General features: G+C 35.4%; 1 long non-coding RNA gene across 1 annotated transcript in view, besides 1 other annotated feature; it reads right to left on the bottom strand.

Moving 5' to 3' along the window:
• Positions 1 to 1,209: 1,209 nt before the first annotated feature.
• The window catches only part of LOC105372745 (uncharacterized), a 122,882-nt gene continuing 101,709 nt past the window's right edge, over positions 1,210 to 22,382 (bottom strand). Inside the window, exon 4 of the long non-coding RNA XR_937603.2 lies at positions 1,210 to 1,295. This is a non-coding gene — a long non-coding RNA (uncharacterized LOC105372745). The remainder of the gene's footprint in view (positions 1,296 to 22,382) is intronic.
• Positions 6,781 to 7,386: an enhancer, noted in NCBI's record as "OCT4-NANOG hESC enhancer chr21:21388803-21389408 (GRCh37/hg19 assembly coordinates)". NCBI's record gives its function as "activates a minimal SCP1, AML or CMV promoter by ChIP-STARR-seq in naive and primed H9 embryonic stem cells {active_cell/tissue: H9 hESC(naive and primed)}" and the evidence as "EXISTENCE:reporter gene assay evidence [ECO:0000049][PMID:30033119]".

Raw genomic sequence — 22,382 nt, 5'->3', positions numbered from 1 at the left:
AGATTTCATGTACTCTTTCTGTGCTCATTTTTCTGGATGGCAATAGGATAAACACCAGGCTACTGCACTAGTGTGCCATCTGCATCACAAAATCACACCTTGGCCAAAATTCAAGCACACAACTTTAATTTTTATTCCCAGAAAATTTCTGGCACAAAACCATAAAGGGCAGGTAGATTTAATGTATGGGTGCATTTAAAGGGAATGGTCTTTTTTTAGTATTGTTAGAGTTCTAGGTGTGAATGCAGAGTAAACACGTCTTATGGAGCAGATTTAGTCCCTCTACCCCCACAATATACCTATAGCAACCAATACAAATTTTTGCATAGGACATATAAAAATTTGAAATAGTTTCTGTCCTTCCTACCAGTTGCAAGCTCCCTGAGGACAGTAAGTCTTTAAATATTTAAGGCCTGTCAGAGAGTTTAGCATAGAGTAGGTGCTAAATAATTATTTGTGGCTGGAATGCATAGGAGTGAATCATAGAACAGCGGTGTTCCCTGGAAGGAGGCCATATCTATTTATATTTTCATTTCATGTATTTACTCTGCTGGCACATACCAGGCAGTGAATGTATTTGTGCTTGCTGATGGACAAATGAGTTCTATGTGTCATCCTGACAGCGATTTTCATGGTAGAAAGAAATAATTCCACAACATTGTATATTTTCTCCTAACTGCTATATCCTACAGTTTTTTAAAAACAAAACATCAAAAATGTTAAACTGTCCCTTATGGGAAAATGGTGTGAAGGAAAGGCAAGTAGAATTTTGATCTCCAAGACTCTTCATATCTCAAAATATTCGTTGATTTCGAAAGAAAGAAATAAAAAATACATACATATATTGAAAGAAAATATATTTGGAAAGTCAACATTGTAATTTTATAAAAAAATTGGAACAGAAATGCACAATAAATAAAGGGCTCATTAGGCACAAATTATTACATTGCTTCATATTGCCTAAGACCATGTAGAAGAAGGTATAAAATTGTATTGCTCTATGGAACCATCTAATTGCCACAGGTTTATGTCTAATTATCCCTCTGAAGCCCCTTGACATGTAAATGGGCTGAATTTTTATATAAAGATTTTTAATATCATTAGAATTATGAATTATAAAGATAATTTTTTCACAATGGGTTTTTCTTTGAAGTATGTACATAAATAGCATTTGAAAAATTAATTGGGAAAACTGTTACTCACCAAAAACTACAGAAGTCTGAGAAACTGCCACAGCCAAGAACAGCCAAAGGAAACTTGACATCTCAATGTGATATGATATCCTAGATGGGATTCTGGAACAAAAAAGGGACAGTCACTAAAAACAAAGGAAATATAAATAAATTATGAGCTTAATAATAATGTATCAATATCGGTTTATTAATTATAACAAATATGCCATATTAATATAAAATATGAATAATAGGGGAAACTGGATGTGGGGTAATGGGAACCTTCTGTACCATCTCTTCAATTTTTCTGTAAGCATAAAGCTGTTTTAAAGAGTGAATTATATTAAAAATAAAGAAACGTGCCTTTCAGGGCACACACTTCCTTTTTCCCCTTGAGTTACAATGTAACTGCCTGGCGTTGGTAAGTCCTTGACTCATTCTGCTGGAAGGTTCCAAAATTCTCTACATGCCTTCTCTGGTGTATATGTAAGTGTTTCTCCTTTCTCTGAATTTTTTATGGAAATTCTCTCTAGATATACAATCCTTAGTCTGTAAAACTACTGCACCATGCTCCAATTTCAAGTCATTAAACCCCTCCACAGATGGATACTTTTGTAAATAATAATAAATGGATCAATAAGGTTAAAAAAAAACTAATGAAATGAATTAAAAATTCCTACGTGTGCATGTGTCTTTCTGGTAGAATGATTTATAATTCTTTGGGTATATACCCAGTAATGGGATTGCAGCACTGTTCACAATAGCAAAGACTTGGAACCAACCCAAAAGCCCATTAATGATAGACTGGATAAAGAAAATGTGGCACATATACACCATGGAATACTATGCAGCCATAAAAAGGGATAAGTTCATGTCCTTTGCAGGGACATGGATGAAGCTGGAAACCATCATTCTCAGCAAAGTAGCACAGGAACAGAAAACTGAACACCGCAATTTCTCAATTGTAGGTGGGAGTTGAACAATGAGAACACATGGACACAGGGAGGGGAACATCACACATGGGGGCCTGTTGGGGGTCGGGGGGCTAGGGGAGGGGTAGTATTAAGAGAAATACCTAATGTAGATGACGGGTTGGTGGGTGCAGCAAACCACCATGGCACGTGTATACCTATGTAACCAACCTGCACATTCTGCACATGTACCCCAGAACTTAAAATATAATAAAAAATTCATAATTAAACACCTAATGTTCATAAACTTTAAAATAATTTTAAAAACTTTAAATTATGACTATCCCTATATCATATCTCCATTTTCAAAAGTAATCTAAATGAACAGTTAAAAAAATTCCTAACAACAAAACGAGTGCATACCCTGCCACCAAATACACAAACACACACATAAAATAAATCAATGTTTATAATCTTTTAAATTATGAGAAAGGACTCCATCTTTATCAAACTTGTATAATACTAGATAATTTCTCCACAGTGAAAAAGAGTTTCAATAAAAAGTGTAAAAAATATGATAATCTGTTATTCTAAGGTAATACTGGACTAGTACTGGTCAGAAACAAGTTATAAGCTAAATATTATATTTATATAAAGATTTTTAATATCATTAGAATTATGAACTATAAAAAATAATTTTTTTCACAATGAGTTGTTCTTTGAATTATATACTTAAATAGCATTTGAAAAATTAATTGGGAAAACTATTAGTCAGGATATGCTTTCAGGAGAATGAATTTTAAAGCTAACAGCAGCATTTAAATAAGTTCTTTTGGAATTAAGGAGAAACGAACCAGTTATCGTGATTTTGTGTTTGATTTATCCAGTTTGTTTCTTCCTCTTCCAAAGGAGTAAACCAATGCAACAACAGGCAAAGGAAATCAGGGTGGCTGCAAGAGAGAAACTATCATCATCTATGCAATTTATTCTGGGCAGGGTACTAAGTATGAATACTGGTGGATAAATGACTATAAATTGTTGATATAATCAATATGTTAACAATTGCAATGGTATTAAATGATTATTGGTGAAAGCATGTTAGAGAGAGTGGACTATACTGAGGTATCATTGAACAGAAAATTACTGAAAATTTGTACTTGCTTTAAAACTTACTGCCCAGTTTTCTGACTTAGGAGAATAATAATAATAATAAACATTTCCATTGATCAGTATGGTAAATATAGCAGAATGAGCCAATTTAGGGGAAATTCTTCTTAGCTAATGATGAGCTTAGTGTATTTGTGCTATAGAGTTTCCCTGTAGGTACTTAATTCTGAAAATATACAAGTCACTAAGTTTTGAATAAAGTCATATTTTATTGGTTATTAATTTTCTCTTGGAATGGTTATTTTAAGCAGAGCTGAGAAGGCTCAGGTGATTATGTTTTCTGAAGACTAAGGGCACAATAACTGTGAATGTCAACATTTAATGATTCAGTAGAAGCGCTGGCCTGGAACTGGGAGAAGGAGCAGGATTAAGCAATATCATTAAAGAAGGATACAAGCGTATCACGTGACAAAGGAAGGCAAAACCAGAGGAAACCTGTCATGTGGACACGGTTTTTGCCTTATTATTAGAGAATCTGGTGAACAAACTGTTACCAGTGTCAGTAGCGTGAAAGGGCACCAGCTGTGTGATTCCTCTAGGTTCTACCCTCAGCATTGTTGTGCAGAGATCAAAAGGAAAACGTGAAAGCATCAACTCAGAATACAGGCAGCTGATATGGAGCCTTGAGGGAGGAGATTCTAAAGGTTCCTGAATCAGGTATTCTCAACAAAATGGCAATGGCTATGCTGAATCTTAAAGGGAAAACATATACCTACCTGACAAAGAGAACCGTTCAGAACACAGAATTCCAGATGGAAGTAAAATGTAATTTGTAGATTGTTGTCAGTAAAAGGAGGATGTGCTCTGTATGGCATTTGTACAGCAGATACTTCATGGGCTTTTCAAAACCTAAAATACTCTATATCATATACTGTAAAGCTTTAATATATACAAATTTTAAAAACCAGTATGTTAGAGGATTTCTGGATAGAACGTAGGCTGTAATAAATGAATCTGTGATATAAGTGCCTGATATAATCTCACTAAGGGGTTGCGCAAAAAAGAGTCTGACTTAAGTAACTTTGGATAGGAGTATTTTGACTGGAAAATGTAATAAAATAGTTGTATATAAATACTGTACTCTGTGAATTTGTTTCTCAGAAGGGTATGGGTTAAGAATACTGGAAAAACTTTACCTCTGTACTAGGATTAAAAAATAAGTAAGTAGGCTGGGCGCGGTGGCTCACGCCTGTAATCTCAACACTTTGGGAGGCCGAGGTGGGCGGATCACGAGGTCAGGAGATGGAGACCATCCTGGCTAACACGGTGAAACCCAGTCTCTAAAAAAAATACAAAAAATTAGCCGGGCGTGGTGGCAGGTGCCTGTAGTCCCAGCTACTCGGGAGGCTGAGGCAGGAGAATCGCTTGAACCCGGGAGGCGGAGCTTGCAGTGAGCCAAGATCGCGCCACTGCACTCCAGCCTGGGCGACAGAGAGAGACTGTCTCAAAAAAAAAAAAAAAAAAAGTAAGTAAATGCTAGGTAATGGAAGCTAGATTTCTCACTATCAGAGAAACAAGTTATACATCAGGGAAGCTAGAATGAAACTTGGGATATTGGACTGGAGTCGGAGACATTGGTATGAACTTCTGTTTAATAGATAGGTAGATGGATAGATTAAGGAAATAGATGATAGAAAATTACATATATGTGGATATACATGGGTTAGGCTATAAACATACTTTCTAGTTCTGTTTGCTTCTAGAAGCAGTAACATTCCAACAGATTTTTTCTTCTTGTTTTTTTTTTTTTTTAAACGGAGTCTGGCTCTGTCACCCAGGCTGGAGTGCAGTGGCGCCATCTTGGCTCACTGCAAGCTCCGCCTCCCGGGTTCACGCCATTCTCCTGCCTCAGCCTCCAGAGCAGCTGGGACAACAGGCAACGGCCACCACGCCCGGCTAATTTTTTGTATTTTTAGTAGAGGCGGGGTTTCACCGTGTTGGCCAGGATGGTCTGGATCTCCTGACTTCGTGATCCACCCGCCTCGGCCTCCCAAAGTGCTGGGATTACGGGCATGAGCACCGCGCCCGGCCTAGATTTTTACTCCTAAATGCTACTCTCTAATAAAGGAATCACACCTCCTTGGTGAAAGAACTAACTGATTTGAATGCTGGGTCAGGAAATACTGCAAGATGACCCTGGAACCTCTTGAAGTATAATACAATAAAGAAGTGTTAGGAAGCCTAAAAGGAGGCCACGTGTCAATGGGACACAGGAGCCAAGCTGGAGGAGCCCTGGACAATTCGAGCAGCAAAATAATGATGTGCTATTAGGTTATCACTCAAAAGGTAAAATAAAAAAGAATATCTTAAAATAAACAAGAATACCTTAATGGAAATTACTTAAAAATAAATAAAGGAGAAGAGACAAGTTTTCCTTACAGAATCCCACGTCATATGTAGATACTGTTCCCTTCAGGAGGTAGACTTAAATCTCCTCCTATTAGGTGAGATCTGTATTCTGTATATTACATGCATTCTGTGTATTATAAAAATATATGGGTGTATGGAAGGAAACAAAAGATTTAAAATAAAACATCTCTGAAACTAAATAATGTTGGCAACAATATATTAAATTTAGTTTTATATTCTTCCACCCTGAGTGTGAAATATTCTTAGTGGCTTATGTTCAGAGTATGGAAAGAGAAAAAGATAGAAACTTTATGGAGGAGACATCTGAAGACAGTATCTCAACTAAGTGGTTAAGTTTAACGTCACCAATAGTAAGTCATGCTGACATCATGCACCCAATCCTATCACAGAATGCATCTCATCATGTGATGAGATAAGAAGGGCACTTAACAGTACTCTTTCTCCAAGGAGGCTGTAATCAGTCAATCCTTTCTCCAGGGAGGCATGATTCCTTTTATTGAAGAATAGCATTTAGAAATGAAGATTTATTGAGGTCTTACTGTTTCTAGGTGCAAACAAAACTAGAAAATATATGTTTGCAGTCTAATCTGTGCATACCCACCTATCTATAATTACCTATGTATCTATCTATCTGTCCATCCATACACTACCCTATCTATTAAAATTCTATCCCAGGATGCATCTCATCATGTGATGGTTTAAGAAGGACACTCAGCCAAGATGAAACCTAAGGAAGTCGTCAGGCACTCCCCAACTGAGGGACAGTCATAAAAATATGTGACTAGTTCCTTTCAAAGATATCAAGGTCTTGAAAGCCAAGGAACTATTTCACATACTTTCACAGTTCAGAGAGAGTAAGGAGACATTATATTAAATGTAATGTGGTACCCTTGATGAAATCCTGAAAAAGAAAAAGCACACAGTGTAAAAACAGATAAAGTCAAATAAAATCTGGAGCTCAGTAAAAAGTAGGTTGCCAATGTTAATCTCTTGGAATTTAAACATCTCCTATAGTCACGTAAGCACCTAATATTAGGAGAAAGAAGGTCAAGGGTGTATGGAAACTCTCTGTTATCTCGGCAGTCTGACTATGAATATAAAACTATTCCTAAATAAAAACTTTTCTTAAAACATAGAATAGTAATCCTTGCATGTTTTTAAAACTTTCTTGTCATGCATTCTGTATTCTGTATATTATGAAATACATGGGTGTATGGAATGAAGCAAAAGATGATTTAAAAGAAAATATCTGTAATAAGCTAAATGATGTTGGCAGTAATATATTAAATTTAGTTTTATGTTCTTGAGGATTTTGTGTTGTCACAGGTATTGTAGTACTTTAGTCCTTGTGTTTTGTAACTACGCACTTAACTGTATGTGGATGAGCCTTTCTATTGTTCTACGTATTCAGATGCTAATGTTTCCCTTGCGTTCCTTTCAACCCTGGCCAAGAACGCTGTAGAATCTAGATGTTTTGAGTAGCATTATGTTTTCGGGTGATCCACAATGCTTTTCTCATGCATATCGTGATTAGCATTTTCTCTTTTGGGAAGTGTGAAAATAATCTGCCTCACTTCACTGAAATCATCACCATCATAAAGGATGTACTTGTGTTCATTTATTGACCTCAGATAAATGAGACATTAATGTTGGGACATAATCACAAACACATAGTCTTTAGCTACTAAAAAGTTGGAAAAAAAAATCCTGTACAATGCTCCAGTGAAATAAAAGATGGTCTAAGGAACAAAATGAATGTCTGCCGACACAGAACACAAAAAAGTTCAGACTAATAGTAGTCCCACGAGATACAGAGAAAATACAGTGAAAGTACTGCCAGCCTCGTTTCTTTACCTGTTCAATCAGAATTCATTTTGCTCCGATAGCTCATAAAGATCTAGTCAGCAACTAGCAGAAAAAACTAGCAACTTTTTGGAAAATTATGCTTTTTATGCATTCTACAGATGTTAGTTTGAAAGTTACTTTAATTCACTTTAATACTCATAATCAGACAAATCAACATTCACATGTTCTCTGAAGTCCATGGAGTCGCAGATGGAATTTATATGATGATTTAAAACTTCACTTTATTTAGTTTTATCAAGCATGGCTGCTCTACCTTTCTAAGAAGAAATCCCCATTGCTATCTATCTTTTTTGATGATAAAATGTTTCTAGATGGATGCTTTTTGTGCTTTCCATCATAGCGGCATACTTGGAAAACAGCTCTCATCAATAAGTATGAGTTATGTTGCTTGATTGGCTACATATAGACAGCAAAGCTAAGGATTCTACAGGTTCCTAATGAATAATGACTTTTCCAGAGTTTTTCCTTAGCAATTATTATCTACATACATATCTTTTCTCTAAAGCAGAATAGAACATACATAAACATTTTTTCTTTGATTCTTCTTTGAGGTTTAAAGAGATGTGATTTTAAGACAGATTTTGATAATTTAGAAATAAATTTTCTGATGAAATAATCAGTAAAAAAGATCGTTTTAGTGGATTGCTACTTATTTTGATTACAGTTCTGAGTTCCAGCAAAGCATTAAATAATTAGTATTTAAAATAATTATTTCAATTTAGGTGGGAAAAAAGCACAATAATTAATGACTCTTCCTATGGATTTCTAAATAGCTAGGCAGGATATTCCTGCTATTCAAGCCAAGATGAACCTTTGAATCAGATAGTTTAATTAATTTCAGCACAGTTATTATACTTCCTAAAATGTCATTTGACATTTTTCTTAAACAACTTAATGCATTAAAATGTATGTTTTACATTTTGAAAGCTTGTGGTGGCACTTTGGTGTAAGAAAGTACAAATGAAATATTTTATTGTGAAAGTAATTTAATGACCCAACAAATTTCTTTATAGCTACAAACCTGTATTAGTTCCTTTTTACCCTGGCATAAAGATACTACCCGAGACTGGGTAGTTTATAAGAAAACAGATTTAATTGACTCACAGTTCCACATGGCTAGGGAGGCCTCAGGAAACTTACAAACGTGGTAGAAGGGGAAGAGGAAGCAAACACCTTCTTCACAAGGAAGCAAAAGAGAAAAAGTATGCAGGGAAAACTGCCACTTTTGAAACCATAAGATTTCCTGAGAACAGATCATGAAAACAGCACGGAGGAAGCCACCTCCGTGATCCAATCACCCCCCAAGAGGTCTCTTCCTCTACACATGGGGATTACAATTAGAGATGGGGTTTGGGTAGGGACACAAAGCCAAAGTATATCAATACCCTAAAAACAATTGTGTGTGCCCACTAGGAGACATACACACTTAAAAGAAAATGAACTATGGTTTCATGAATCTTATAAATATATTCTAAGTGGAAAAAAAAATCTAGCCCTAGAACTTTCCATACAGTATAAAACTATACTTATAGTCATGAAATATAAGCAAAATAATTTTTTTTTTTTTTGAGAGTGACTCCCACTCTGTCGCCCAGGCTGGAGTGCAGTGGCGCCATCTCAGCTCACTGCAAGCTCCGCCTCCCGGGTTCACGCCATTCTCCCGCCTCAGCCTCCCGAGTAGCTGGGACTACAGGCACCCGCCACCACGCCCGGCTAATTTTTTGTATTTTTAGTAGAGACGGGGGTTTCACCGTGTTAGCCAGGATGGTCTCGATCTCCTGACCTCGTGATCTGCCCGCCTCGGCCTCCCAAAGTGCTAGGATTACAGGCGTGACCACCACGCCCGGCCAATAAAAAATATTTTTAAAAGATATTTACTTGGGTAATAAAATTATTAAAGAGAAGAACAAGATAAACAAATTATACGTACAAATGGTTTTCTGTGAGTGAGGATGCAGGAAAGATGACAGCATGAGACATGGAAGAAACATAGGAATTATTTCAATGATATTAATAATAGTTTGTTATTTGTTTTGTGCTCCACAGGTATTCAATTCTATCTTATGCTTCATGACTTAAGTGTATGTTGAACATATCTTCTTGTATATTTCAAATATTTTGTCAAAAGTGCATTTTTAAAAAGGCTTTGTTCATTGGATTTTCTATTTGAAATACTTCTGAATTATGAATCAAAAGGGCTCATGTCCTCGAAAACATGTACATATGCTTCATATTACCTGAGTCTTTAGGAAGATTTCCATCTTTTTTTCTGCTTAGGAGAGGGAAAATGCTCCATGTGTGTCTTCCCTGATGCTAACAACATTACTGATTTTGTTGATGATAATGCTCTATCTAAGCACTCAGACCAGGTTCTAATTCATTCTAATACCCCTTCAGAAAAGAAGAGTTGGTAATGGAAATGCTAATGGTTTAGACCTGACAAATCCTTAGAACCAGCTACCTCTCTCTATGTCCCATGGGACCCCTCCACCCTAGAGTCATTTAATTTCTGGGGAATTGCTATGTATTGATTTTCTATTCTCTTTCATGATTCTCTTATTTTCCCTTCAGCAGTTTCCCTATTGAATCTGATCTGAGATCATTTGGCTCTTACTTAAGCTGACAAAATGAATACTTATAAGGGGAAATATCATTTCTAAATGAACTCTTAGTTAATTTACATAAAAGAGAATTGCTGTTTAAAAGTAGACGAGCCAATAGTAACATGATATATGTTAATAGAAAAGGATAATGGATGGCCTTAAACTTGATTTTGCACTTTTATATTATCATCTTTGCTTGCTTCACATTTTCAGTGGGATGTAGATATTTATATATGAAAAATTTAATTCTCATGTCATTGATTACAGTATAGCTGAAATTAACTATACTTATCTCTTTAACAGCTATGTGTGGCAAAGCCTGAATTAATTTTGCACACTTCAGATATCAGATATAGATAAAGTGAGCTGACAATACCAATTTTCTCTTGGAGTACTTTTAAAGCTTTACTTCTCTATTTTGGTTTTAAAAATATAAAAGGCATCTCCAGTTACCTAGCATCTATCTTAATTACAAAGAAAGCATTTTTCATTTAACCTTGAATTTCAAAATATTTAATGAGAATCAAAAAGTACCTGTAAAGACTGGAGGCCTCAAATATGTAAAATGAATCTTCGCAAAATTTTTATGATTTTTACTCTGAGTTATTAAAAAAAACATATATCCTTTAATGTCTCTAAATATCCTAGTGCTCCAAATTATTATACTTCTGTCATTTTTAAGTAACACAGAATCATCTACTTTATTACCAAGAAGATCTTTATTACTAGATTTCATGCAGCAATAGAAAGAACATTTCTTTGTTTTGTTTTTTGTTTCTGTTTTTCTATAACCAACTTGTTAAAATTCCTATGCAATTCAGTTCAAGTGGGGTTTTGAAGAGCATTGAGAATCTAAACCTTTTGAAGCATAAGGTGTCGCTATAATGATTTGAGGAAAATATACAAAATTGAGGTTTCAAGCCAGAGGTTAATTTTGAATGTCAGGGGCTGTAAATGCACACACTGAGGATACAGTCATCTTTTCAAAAGACAAGCAAAACATAGATACCTGTCTGTACATATATGTATGGTTTTAAAAGACAAAGTCTCACTATATTGCCTACGCTGGGCTGCAGTGGTATTATCACAGCTCACTGCAACCTTGAACTCCTGGGCTCAGGTGATCTGCCCGACTTGGCCTCCCAAAGTACTGTGATTACAGGTGCAAGCCACTGTGCCTGGCCCTGTAGAATTTTTTCTTCTCATTCTTTTTTTTTTTTTTTGAGAAAAAGTCTCATTCTGTCGCCCAGGCTGGACTGCAGTGGCGTGATCTCGGCTTACTGCAACCTCTGCCTCCTGGGTTCAAGTGATTCTTGTGCCTCAGCCTCCCGGGTAGCTAGGACTGCAGGCGCCCAGCACCACACCTGGCTAACTTCTGTATTTTTAGTACAGACGAGGTTTCACCTTGTTGGCCAGGCTGATCTCAAACTCCTGACCTTGGATGATCCACCCGCCTCGACCTCCCAAAGTACTGGGATTACAGGCCTGAGCCACCGTGCCCGGCCTACAATTTTCATTATTATTATTATTATTATATATTTTTAAAATTAGCTCAGCATGGTGGCGGGAGCCTGTGGTCTCAGCTACTCAGAAGGCTGAGGCGAGAGGATCTCTTGAGCCCAGGAGTTCTAGGCTTCAGTGACCTCTCATTGCACCACTGCACTCCACCCTGGGTAACACAGCAAGACCCTGTCTCTAAATAATGATAATAATAATAATAATGATGATTGCTGTAATTTTACATATCATATTCCTACAAATCAAGTAGAACTATGGAATAGTCACATCAGCGACATCACTCCTATTTTATCATAAAATTTAAAACTTTTCCACATAATCCCAGGAGATTATAATCACATATCTTTAACCAATAGCTCTGTCATAGACCTATTGATGCTGCAATGGTTGCTCCCAAATGAATATTTATTAAGGTACATAATCACCTCAAATATAATTCATGGCCTATTTTCAGTTAAAGATTTTTGTGTGAGATTAAGTTTGCGTTGTCAATTAGCTATGATCGTCAGGGGACTCAAGGGAGTATTTAAGGAGGTGAAAATCCAATCTAGAAATCTAAGTGAGAAATATTAATCAGATATCAGGGTGCCTGCTTGTTTTTGTTTTGATATAAATGATGACTTGTTTAAAAAATGTCCATGGAAATGAAAGCTAAAATAAGGAAGAAGTGATGTTGTAGAAGTAAAATTAACTGTGGTTAACAATTTAAATAATGTGGGAGAATAAGAAGAGTAAATGTTAAAATCTAAATTTTGAAATTTATTGACTTGGCATCTTATTTATTCAGTATTAAACCATTCTGGACAATAGTACAGAGGTTCTTCACAAAATTAAAAATAGAACTGCTATGTGATCTAGTAATCTCAGCACTGAGTATATAACTAAAGGAAATGAAATCAATATGTTGGAGAAATCTCCACTCTCATGTTCAATGCAGCATTATTTACAGCAGTCAAGATATGTAAATGACTTAAGTGCCTATCAGCAGATGAGTGGATTAAAATAATGTAATTTATATACACTCTGAAACACTATTTGGCCTTAAAAGACGAAGGAAATCTTGTCATTTGTGACAACACAGATGAACTTGGAGGGCGTTATGTTAAGTGAAATAAGCCGGCACAGAAAGGGAAATAGTGAATTATCTCACTTATACATGAAATCTAAAAAAGTTGAACTTACAGAAGTATAGAGTAGACATCAGGAGTGGCAGCTCATGCCTGTAATCCCAGCAATTTGGCTGAGGCAGGGAGATGGCTTGAGGTCAGGAATTTGAGAGCAGCCTGGGCAATACACCAAGACCTCACCTCTATAAAAAATTTATCTAAAAAAAGAAATGCACGCCTGTGGCCCTCGCTGCTCAGGAAGCTGAAGTAAGGAGTATTGCTTGAGCTCAGGAGTTTAAGGGTGCAGTGAGCCAGGATCATGCCACTCCACTCCAACCTGGGCAACAGAACAAGATCCCATCTCTTAAAAAAAAAAAAAAGAAGTGGAAAGTAGAAGGGCCTGGGGCCTATGAGATCTTAGGGAGATCCAATCAAAGGATATAACATTTCATTTAGGTGGGAGATATAAGTACTGGTGATCTGTTTCCCAACATGGTGACTATGGTTAATAACAATATATTTTATTTTGAAATTTGCTGAGAGTAAATTTTAAGGGCTCTCATGATGAAAATAAAAGAACAAGTATGTGAAGTAAGCCATAAGGTGATTAGTTGGATTGAGCCATTACACAATGTATATATATTTCAAAACATTGTTTTTGGAGGAGTGTTTTTATAAAATTTCATTTAGATAAGAAGAATGAGTACTGGTGATCTGTTTCTCAACACAGTGACTATAGTTAATAACAATGTATTTTATTTTGAAATTTGCTGAGAGTAAATTTTAAGAGTTTCCTTAAAATTTTATCTTTATAAATGGTGAAAGAAAAAGGATAAGTATGTGAGGTAATGCATATGGTGATTAGCTAGATTGAGCCATTACACAATGTAAATGCATTTCAAAACATTTGTCAACTAAAAAATAAAATACATATATAAGAATGAGAAAGTTCAAAAGGAAGAGCTTTAAGGGAAATGGTGACAGTGAAAGATGAAAAACGTAGCTTATGAGAGTATCTCAGTTTATAGACAGTCATCTTGAATTGTAGAACTGGATCTTGGGACTAAAAACACAGGCTTAGCCATCTGTTAGCAGACCACAAATCACAGAAGAAAGTGTGGCAATTGATTAGTTCACCAATGAAAAGAGTATTAAAAAAATGTAAGTACTTCGGAAAAATAATACTTGACATTTTAGTTTGTAGGCTCAGGGAAAGCAGAGAAGAAGATAAAGAGAAGAAACAGAAACAGGGAATCTAGATCATTTTTGCAATGATAAATATGTATCACACACTTGCTAGCATCATGCTAGGGGTTATACATGCCACAAAATAAAACACAGTGTCTGTCCCTGAGCAAGTTATGCGTAGAAGATAAAGCTGTTAAATGGACAATTAAAATATACAGAGAGGCAATCCATAACTGCAAACATGGTGCCATGTGTGCCCCTAGAAGGGATCTTCACCCCGAAATAGAGTCATAGAGATGAAACTATTGTTGATTTGAAGAGATGATATCTTCATTAAAACAAAAAAGATATAATCAAGTCTATGAAAGTTTCAAGAGTAAAGCTAAGACGATTGTGTCAGTTGACACAGATGCCAATAAAATGAACAGCTAACAACATGCAAACATATATGAACCTAGGAGCTCAATGATGTCTATCAAGAAAGCATTCACAATTTGGCACTAGAAGAGGGAGGGTAGAATGCAGGAAGTACTAAATGCTGTGTGGATAGCAGGGACATTGAGACATCAAGTACGGGGGATTCTTCTGAGAAGCTTGTTATTGAAAAGGGGGAAAACAAAGCTATAAATAATCATGAGCATTGAAGATAAGGAAGTTTATATTTTTAGGTGCAAGTAAACATTGCTTTGGATATTTAGTATATTTCTAAAATATATATGATAGCCTGCATTACCAGTTTCTATCCTATGGTTTGAATGTGTCCCCAAAAAGTTGAGGGGTTGGAAATTTAATCCCCATTGCAACAATGTTGGGAAGTAGGGCCGAATAAGAAGTGGCTGGGTCACCAAGGCAGAGACATCATGAATGGATACAATGTCATTGTTGTGAGGGTGGGTTAGTTATCAGGAGAGGGGTCATTATAAAGCCAGTCAGCCCCCAGCGTCTCGCTCTGTCTCAGGTGCTCACTCCCTATGTGATGCCTTCTACCATCTCCAGATACCAGTGCCATGCTCTTGATCTTCCTAGTTCCAGAATTGTGAGTAATACTTTTTTTCTTTATAAATTGGCCAGGGTGTATAATAGTATTCTGTTATAACAACAGAAAACTGACTGAGACACTTACCTTCCCTTTGAAATGTAAACTCTGAAATAACCAAAGCAAGATCCACTTTTTCTAAAATGTGGAAATCTGCTCTATTTAACAAAATAGCCTACTTTGCAGAAACTCTGTTTAAAGTAATATAAATATTTCTGAAGGTGTGTCGGTGTACAGTGTGATGTCACACGAATTTACAAGTTAATAATGTGTGATTCAATACAGGACCAAGTGGTGACTTCTCAGTGTTCAAATAATATATAGGACAAATATATACACAGTAAAGAATATAGGACCCTGAGCCTAAGCTTAGCTAGACTAGACACTACGTGTAAACCATAATATATTTACTGTAAGCATATAGAAAATTTAAATAGTTTAAAATGTTTTTGTTTGTTTTTAAAATTCTCATGGTATAACAAGTCAGGCTGTTTTTTAAAATCCTGGAATAAGTGTGTGTGTGTGTGTGTGTGTGTGTGCGCGCGCGCATGTGTGTGTGTGTAGGGAGGTAGGTCATGATACATCAGTCGGTGCCACAGGCAACAAGGCTTCATGGACATGCTTTTATGTAGCTCTGTTTTACTAACAAGCGTTTGAATATAAGGCTTGTAATACAATTTAATAGGGTTGAGTTGTGTAAAACTATTATATCTTGAATGGCAAAGAAGTACAGAAGCTATAAAAGAAGTTATAAACTAATTTAGAAGTATTTCTTACTTATTGTGTTACTTCTAGGAAAATGCTGCCTGCAGTATGTACAGTTTTTATCTGACTCCCCGCTGTAGACCCCATCAACTTAATCAAATCACTGTACCTTGTGCTTGCCAACCTCATTATCGTGAAGTATTATGTAGTTGTCTTTTAAATTCATTAGACAGAAACCTTCAATTTAAAGCACATTAATTTCTTTACTTTTCAAAAACCTTCTGCCAGAGGTAGAAATTTATAAGGGTTAATTCATTATTCAAAAAGAAATGCGTTTGATTTGGAATTTTGTTTTGGAGTAATCGCTAAAGCAGTTTTACCTACAAAATTAAAGAAGCTTGTTCTACAGAGTTCCTCACTTACTTCTGTATCTAATTGTATTTTATTTTTAACAAATTTTATTCTTTTATTTCAAGTAGTATTTCTCAACGTGGGAATCTTGGCACTTTTAGACAGTCAATTCCTGGGGTGTGTGTTGGGAGGTATCTTGTGCATTGTATGCTGTTTATCAAAACTCAGCCTCTACCCACTAGATTCCACTTGATGAGAAATTAAAAAATGTACAGATATTTCCAAAATTCCCTAGCAGGGGACTGAGAGTCAGCCACATTGGGAATCACAGACTTAAAGGCTCCTGTCTTCTCAAATTTTATAAGCTCCAGTCACACATGTGGCCTGGATAGCAACCAAAAGAAGCATCAGAGAAGGTATAATATTTACCTTTGTTATAACCCAGAATACTACGTGTAGATGTTTTTAAAATGCATACATATTTGTGAATTTTTATTAGCAAAATATACCAGAAGTTAACTCCTTTTGGCTAACAAGGAAATGACAGACTTACTAACTTGTAAGTAATGGACAGTTTCAAATAAACTCCATTTAACAAAATAGCACCGATTACACAGAAAATGTTGTTAAAATGATGGTGAACTATGAATTCAGGCTATATATACCATTATGTGTTAGATGCAATCAAGAGAAAAGCATTGTGTCTAGAAGTGGATATTTCTACATTGACGAAGTTAAATCTAATATATTAGGTCTTTTGTGCCAGGTAACAAACTCTTTCTTCCACAAACTGAAAATCTGATGAAGAAATATAAATCATTGAATCTAGTTGTATATTGCTATCAATGCATTCAGTAACAATGTAAGAAGGTTACTTTTCCCATCTTAGAGAATTTATTAATATCAAGAGCTTTATAAAACAATAATGTATATAGAAGCACTATTCAAAAAATTGTTGATAAAGATAACCTCCTGCACATGAGAACTCTTTGCTTTAAATCATTTTAATGTTTGTTTGTAGTATTCTTTATTTCTTTCTAAAAATTTGTATAGTCATTTGGAAATGGAGAAAATGGCATGAGATAAAAATGTAAACCATGGCAAAATAAAAAAGGTAAATTATTTGCTTTAGAGATCACTGAAAAATCAATGTCAATTTAAGTCCAGGTTTCTAAGTAGTTTGACTGTTTCTAGAAATAGTGAATAAAGTATGATTTTAAATTGTGTATGAATTCAAGTATATTTGCTGTTTAATTAAATAACTAATATAACTTTGTAATAATGAAAGAAAATAGATACATTTGATAAATGTTTAACAAATGTCTACACTGTTTTAGATTTTTCTGATTTGTCTTTCAATATAACCTAGGATTGTCTTTAACTAAAATATCAATATGTATTTTTAAATATCCACTTTGGGGACAATTCATTGAATACTATCGTATTGTTATTGGATTAAAATTAAAATGTCATTTGTTTAAAAAGAAAATGCAACTATATAGTCTGATTAATGCTATTGTATTAATTAAAGCCATTAGCAAGCGTAAAACTGTTCCCTAAATGTCTCTCAATAAATCTATTTTCTTATGTGAAAGGAGAAGATACCACACGGAAGCCATTAGCAATACTCAATATTGAAACAATAAGTTTTCTATTGCAGAATGAACTCTAGAAATTAAATTACTATTAAAAAGAAGACTTGTGTATGTGTGTGTGTGTGATAGAGAGATGAGGGTAGGGAGTAGGGAGACAGAGTATGAGGGACAGGGAAAGATTGAGATTGAGAGAAAGAGAGAGAGAGAAAAAACATTTGGGGTTTATGGGTGAAACATGTCGTCCAGATCAGGACTTCATTATCTCGGTTTTGCTGACCCTTCTGGAGTACTGGAAGTCGTGAAATTCTAGAGAAAAGAGTGGCTAACTGGTCATGAGTACTTTTCTAAGAAAAGGAAATATCTTTCCCCTACCTGTCTTCCCAAAATATAAAGATTCAGTGGCCTAGAAATGTAAATATTGTTTATAATTAACTGCTTTTGGTAAAATGAATTCTGATGAGGATAGTGTTTAGTGAAATAGAGGGAAAAATTCTACCTAATTGTTGTAGTCCACATGTACTTAACTAATATGCCCATTAATTGACTAACTGGTACAGCTTTGAAATTAATGTAATTTTAAATTTATTTCTATTTTAAAAATTATTCCTCACAACTCTTCATTATTTCAACTGCTCTGCAACACCACAAAGATGAAAAATATCCATTTTCAGCAACACTTAAGAAGCAATAATGGCTCATACTTATCAGTAGCTCACTGTGTGCTCAATACTGAGCTGAGTGCTTTTCATGAGATCTCATTTTTCCTTTAATCTTTCCAACAATGCAGTGAAGAGAAACTATTGGGATATGCATTTTATTACTAGATGAGAAAACTTAAGCTCAAAGGGATTAATCAATTTTCTAAAGTTCAAGGGATTCCTGTAGGAAAGGTAGTATTCTTCAAATGTGGAGTTCTTGCTAGTTTCACACTGCTGCTACTGATTTCTCCAGCACTACAATATGTTCAAGTGGTATTGAATTACTTAGTAAGATCAAATTAGTCAACAGGGACCACTAGAAAATATTCCAAATTGCATGAGCCATTGCATCAACAACGTTTTCTGGATGGTCATGGTTATGCCAATAATTTCTTTCTTCCAGAATTTTCAGCCAAAAGGAGTTGAAGTCCTTTAAAACATGTGTAGCAAGTTTTTCTACAAATCTACATCAGATAATTTTCCAAGTTATTGTATAGGATCTCATGGTCGTCACAATCTGAAATATTAATCAATTTAACAATTGGCACAATTGCCTTTACCATGTCATGGTAGTCAAAAAGTGTTGGAAAGGCACGGTAAAATAATTGATATTTTTTCAACTTGTCCACTCAGGGAAAGACATGGTTTTGTTGCAGGACGGGTGAGACCCAAAATTAAGGCTTAGCCTGGGAGAGTTCTTGGTTTTGCCAAATAAAGAATTCAAGGGCTAGCTGGTGGTGTTAGACAGCAATCTTGTATGGGAAGGTACTGCTCCTTGCAGAGCAGGTATAACTTACAGGCAGTGGGTGCTTGGCAAATGTATTTATACTCATGTAAACCCACTTCAATTACATGCAAATTAAAGGATGAGTCAATGCAAATTGAGGGGCATGTTACTTAAAACTGTCTAGGAAATATGCAGTAACTTCTGCGTTGTTGCCATGGAAAGGATTGGTAACTTCCAGGTCGTTGCCATGGTATTTATAAACTGTTGTGGTGCCGGTGGAAGTGTCTTATCCTAATGAGAAATGAAGGCAGCTAGGGATTGCTTTTGTTGCTGTCTGCTGGTTCCTGCTGTTTTTTTCACTTTTTCCTGTCTGGACCAGATCCAGTTTTGGTCAGCAGGATAACTAGAAAACAAGTCTTGCCAGTCTCCTACCTCATTATCAAAGCATGTCCCCATCAAGTACTTATTTTTCACACTAAAATGGCTTAAATAAAGCACCTTCTGTTCAGAGCACTGGCAGAATGTAGAGACAAATGGCAGGATCATCAAAATCTCAGATTATGAAGACACACCAGAATTATTACGCATAAAAACACTTACGGACAAGCAACTTCTTTTTTAGAGAACTGCCTTGACGAAACTTATTATTTTCTATGCCTGTCATAATCATACTTTATCTTATTAAATTCAAATTCATTTAATCTAAGTAAAATGTTTGCCAAGTAGATGTTTTTGTTTCTATTATTTAAACATGGAAACTGGGGTTAGAAAATGTAAAAACATTTGCTTGAAATTTGTTTTTCTGATGCTATCTTCTGTTTTCCTCTTTATCTTTTTTCCAGTTCATCCTAATTTCAGAAGAGGCAATCAGATGCCATATTTTAATATACTCTATTGTTTAATAAGGTAAACTGAATCATATAATTTCACTGTTGAATGTGTCTTAGAGAACATAGCAACAGGATAAATAATGAAAGAATGAAATCACTGGAATACTAAGACCTCCAAAATCCATAAGCCATCTTTTAAAGACATACAAAATATGTCAAAGCTGCCATGTAGAAGAGGATATTGACTTATTTTACATTACTTCAAGAAGAAAAACTTAGAAAAGTAAATAAACTCAATGGAGAAACATAGTTTAGAAGAATTTTCTATCGGCCAAACTAAAATGACTTTTCTTATAAGATACTTAGATTGCTAGACTGCTGGTATTCAATCACATGGGCAGTGTCATTGGAGATAAGATGTGCAGCAACTTTACTGTCCAATATTTTCTTCTGATAGGTGATGGGTTCACTTACAGGCAACTCAGATGTTAATTCTAGAAAGGCCAATACTAAGTACATCCTACATATACATGGGCATTAGGAGGCAAATTATTCCTGATATCAAGTAATCTAGTTAGAGTTAACATCTCCATGGAAATCACACCAAAGTTGATGAAACAGTCTTGTCTTTGGCATACAATATCTTTGTTCTCTGGTTCTTTAGCTAGTTAATGTGTTCAAATTTCCAAATTAGGTGTTGCTTTGTGAATATTTCTGTCACTCCCTCTACTGTAATAATTATTGATCTAGGCTGAGGCAATCACTTCCTCAGTCGAGCAATTTCTCCACTGTAATTATTTACTTCTGTGTATACCATGTCTAAAACATAATTTGCTACATTGACATGACAATAAAAGGATGTTTTATTGGTCTTCATTCCCAGCTGTCTATTACAGAATTTTGAAAGTACTGGGTGTCAAGAAAGTATTTATTTTATTGATAAAGAAATTAATGGTTGCATGAATAAGTTGATGTTACTATTAAATATATCAACTGCATGTAAATATAACAGAATATATTAATTTATATCTTCATGAAGATAACCCAACAAAACCCTAATATATTTTAAAAGAAATAGAAAAATTAACAACCTTCGAAGAAGTAGAAAAAAGTTGGACAAGGAGGCAGAAAATCCGGTCTTGCATCCCGATTTTATCACTTAAGAACTCTGAGTCCCAGTTTCTTTCAGCTTTAAAATGAACTTGCATTATACCTGCATGATATCTACAAATACCCTTTAAATTATCCTTGGACATTACCCTCAAGCACTGAAAAGAACTCACTGAAATTTTAACAGACAGATTATCTGGAAATATCATGCTATGTTAAGCAGTCCATAGGACAGTGAATATTTTTAATGTGTTAATATTAGGGAATAAAATATATTTACTAAGGTGAGATGATCACTTGAGGCCAGAAGTTTAAGACTAGCCTGGGCAACATGGTGAGACTGGTTTCTACAAAAAATGTTTTTAAAAATTGGTTTAGTGTGGTGACGTGTGCCTATAGTCCTGGCTACTCAGGAGGCTGAGGAGGAAGAATCACTTGAGACTGGGAGCTTTAGTTTACAGGAAGGTATGTTGGAACCACTGTAGTCCAGCTTGGGCAACAGAGCAAAATCCCATCTCAAAAGACAAACAAACAAACAAACAAACAAAAAAGCTTGTTAAAATCATTTTTTTTTTAAATATCATGGAGAAAGGAGTTTCAATTCTTTTTTACACCTATATGTTGTAAACATTAATTCAACATATGGTTATAATGTATACCTAATAGTCAAATAAGCACAGGTTTAAAGATCTCCCAAGACCTTATTGACAAAATGGATCATAACAAGTTCAAACAAGCTGTTACAGCCTACTGGGCTAAAACCTCTCTTGTTATTGATTTATAAAGGTTTTTTTTTTTGAGACGGAGTCTCACTCTGTCGCCCAGGCTGGAGTTCAGTGGCGCGATCTCCACTCACTGCAAGCTCCGCCTCCTGGGTTCACGCCATTCTCCTGCCTCAGCCTCCCAAGTAGCTGGGACTACAGGCGCCCGCCACCACGCCCGGCTATTTTTTTTTTGTATTTTTTTAGTAGAGACGGGGTTTCACCGTGTTAGCCAGGATGGTCTCGATCTCCTGACCTCGTGATCCGCCTGCCTCGGCCTCCCAAAGTTTTGGGATTACAGGCGTGAGCCACAGCGCCCGGCCATAAAGCTTTAAGCACTACTGAAAAACAAAATATAGTAGTATTTCAAAAATTCTTTATAATGGTTTACATATCACCTCTAGAATAGTAAGTAACATAGATTTTTTAATAGTATATACATGCATGAAAAGTTCGTTTTTTTTACACTGTTGTTGTAATATAACAGTTCAAAAAAAAGGAGCTGTAGTTGATTTCTATAGCTCCATGAAAAAGTTGAGAACAGTATAATGAGGATTAGAGTTTTGTGCCAATCGCAATAGCCTAATTTTATTGTATTTCAGACTATATTTCCTCTCAATAGCCTAATTTTATCATATTTCAGAATATATTTCCTTTCAATAGCCTAT

The sequence above is a fragment of the Homo sapiens genome, chromosome 21, assembly GCF_000001405.40.
Source record: "Homo sapiens chromosome 21, GRCh38.p14 Primary Assembly".
NCBI classification, from domain to species: Eukaryota; Metazoa; Chordata; class Mammalia; order Primates; family Hominidae; genus Homo; species Homo sapiens.
This window is presented reverse-complemented; position numbering and strand designations above follow the sequence as displayed.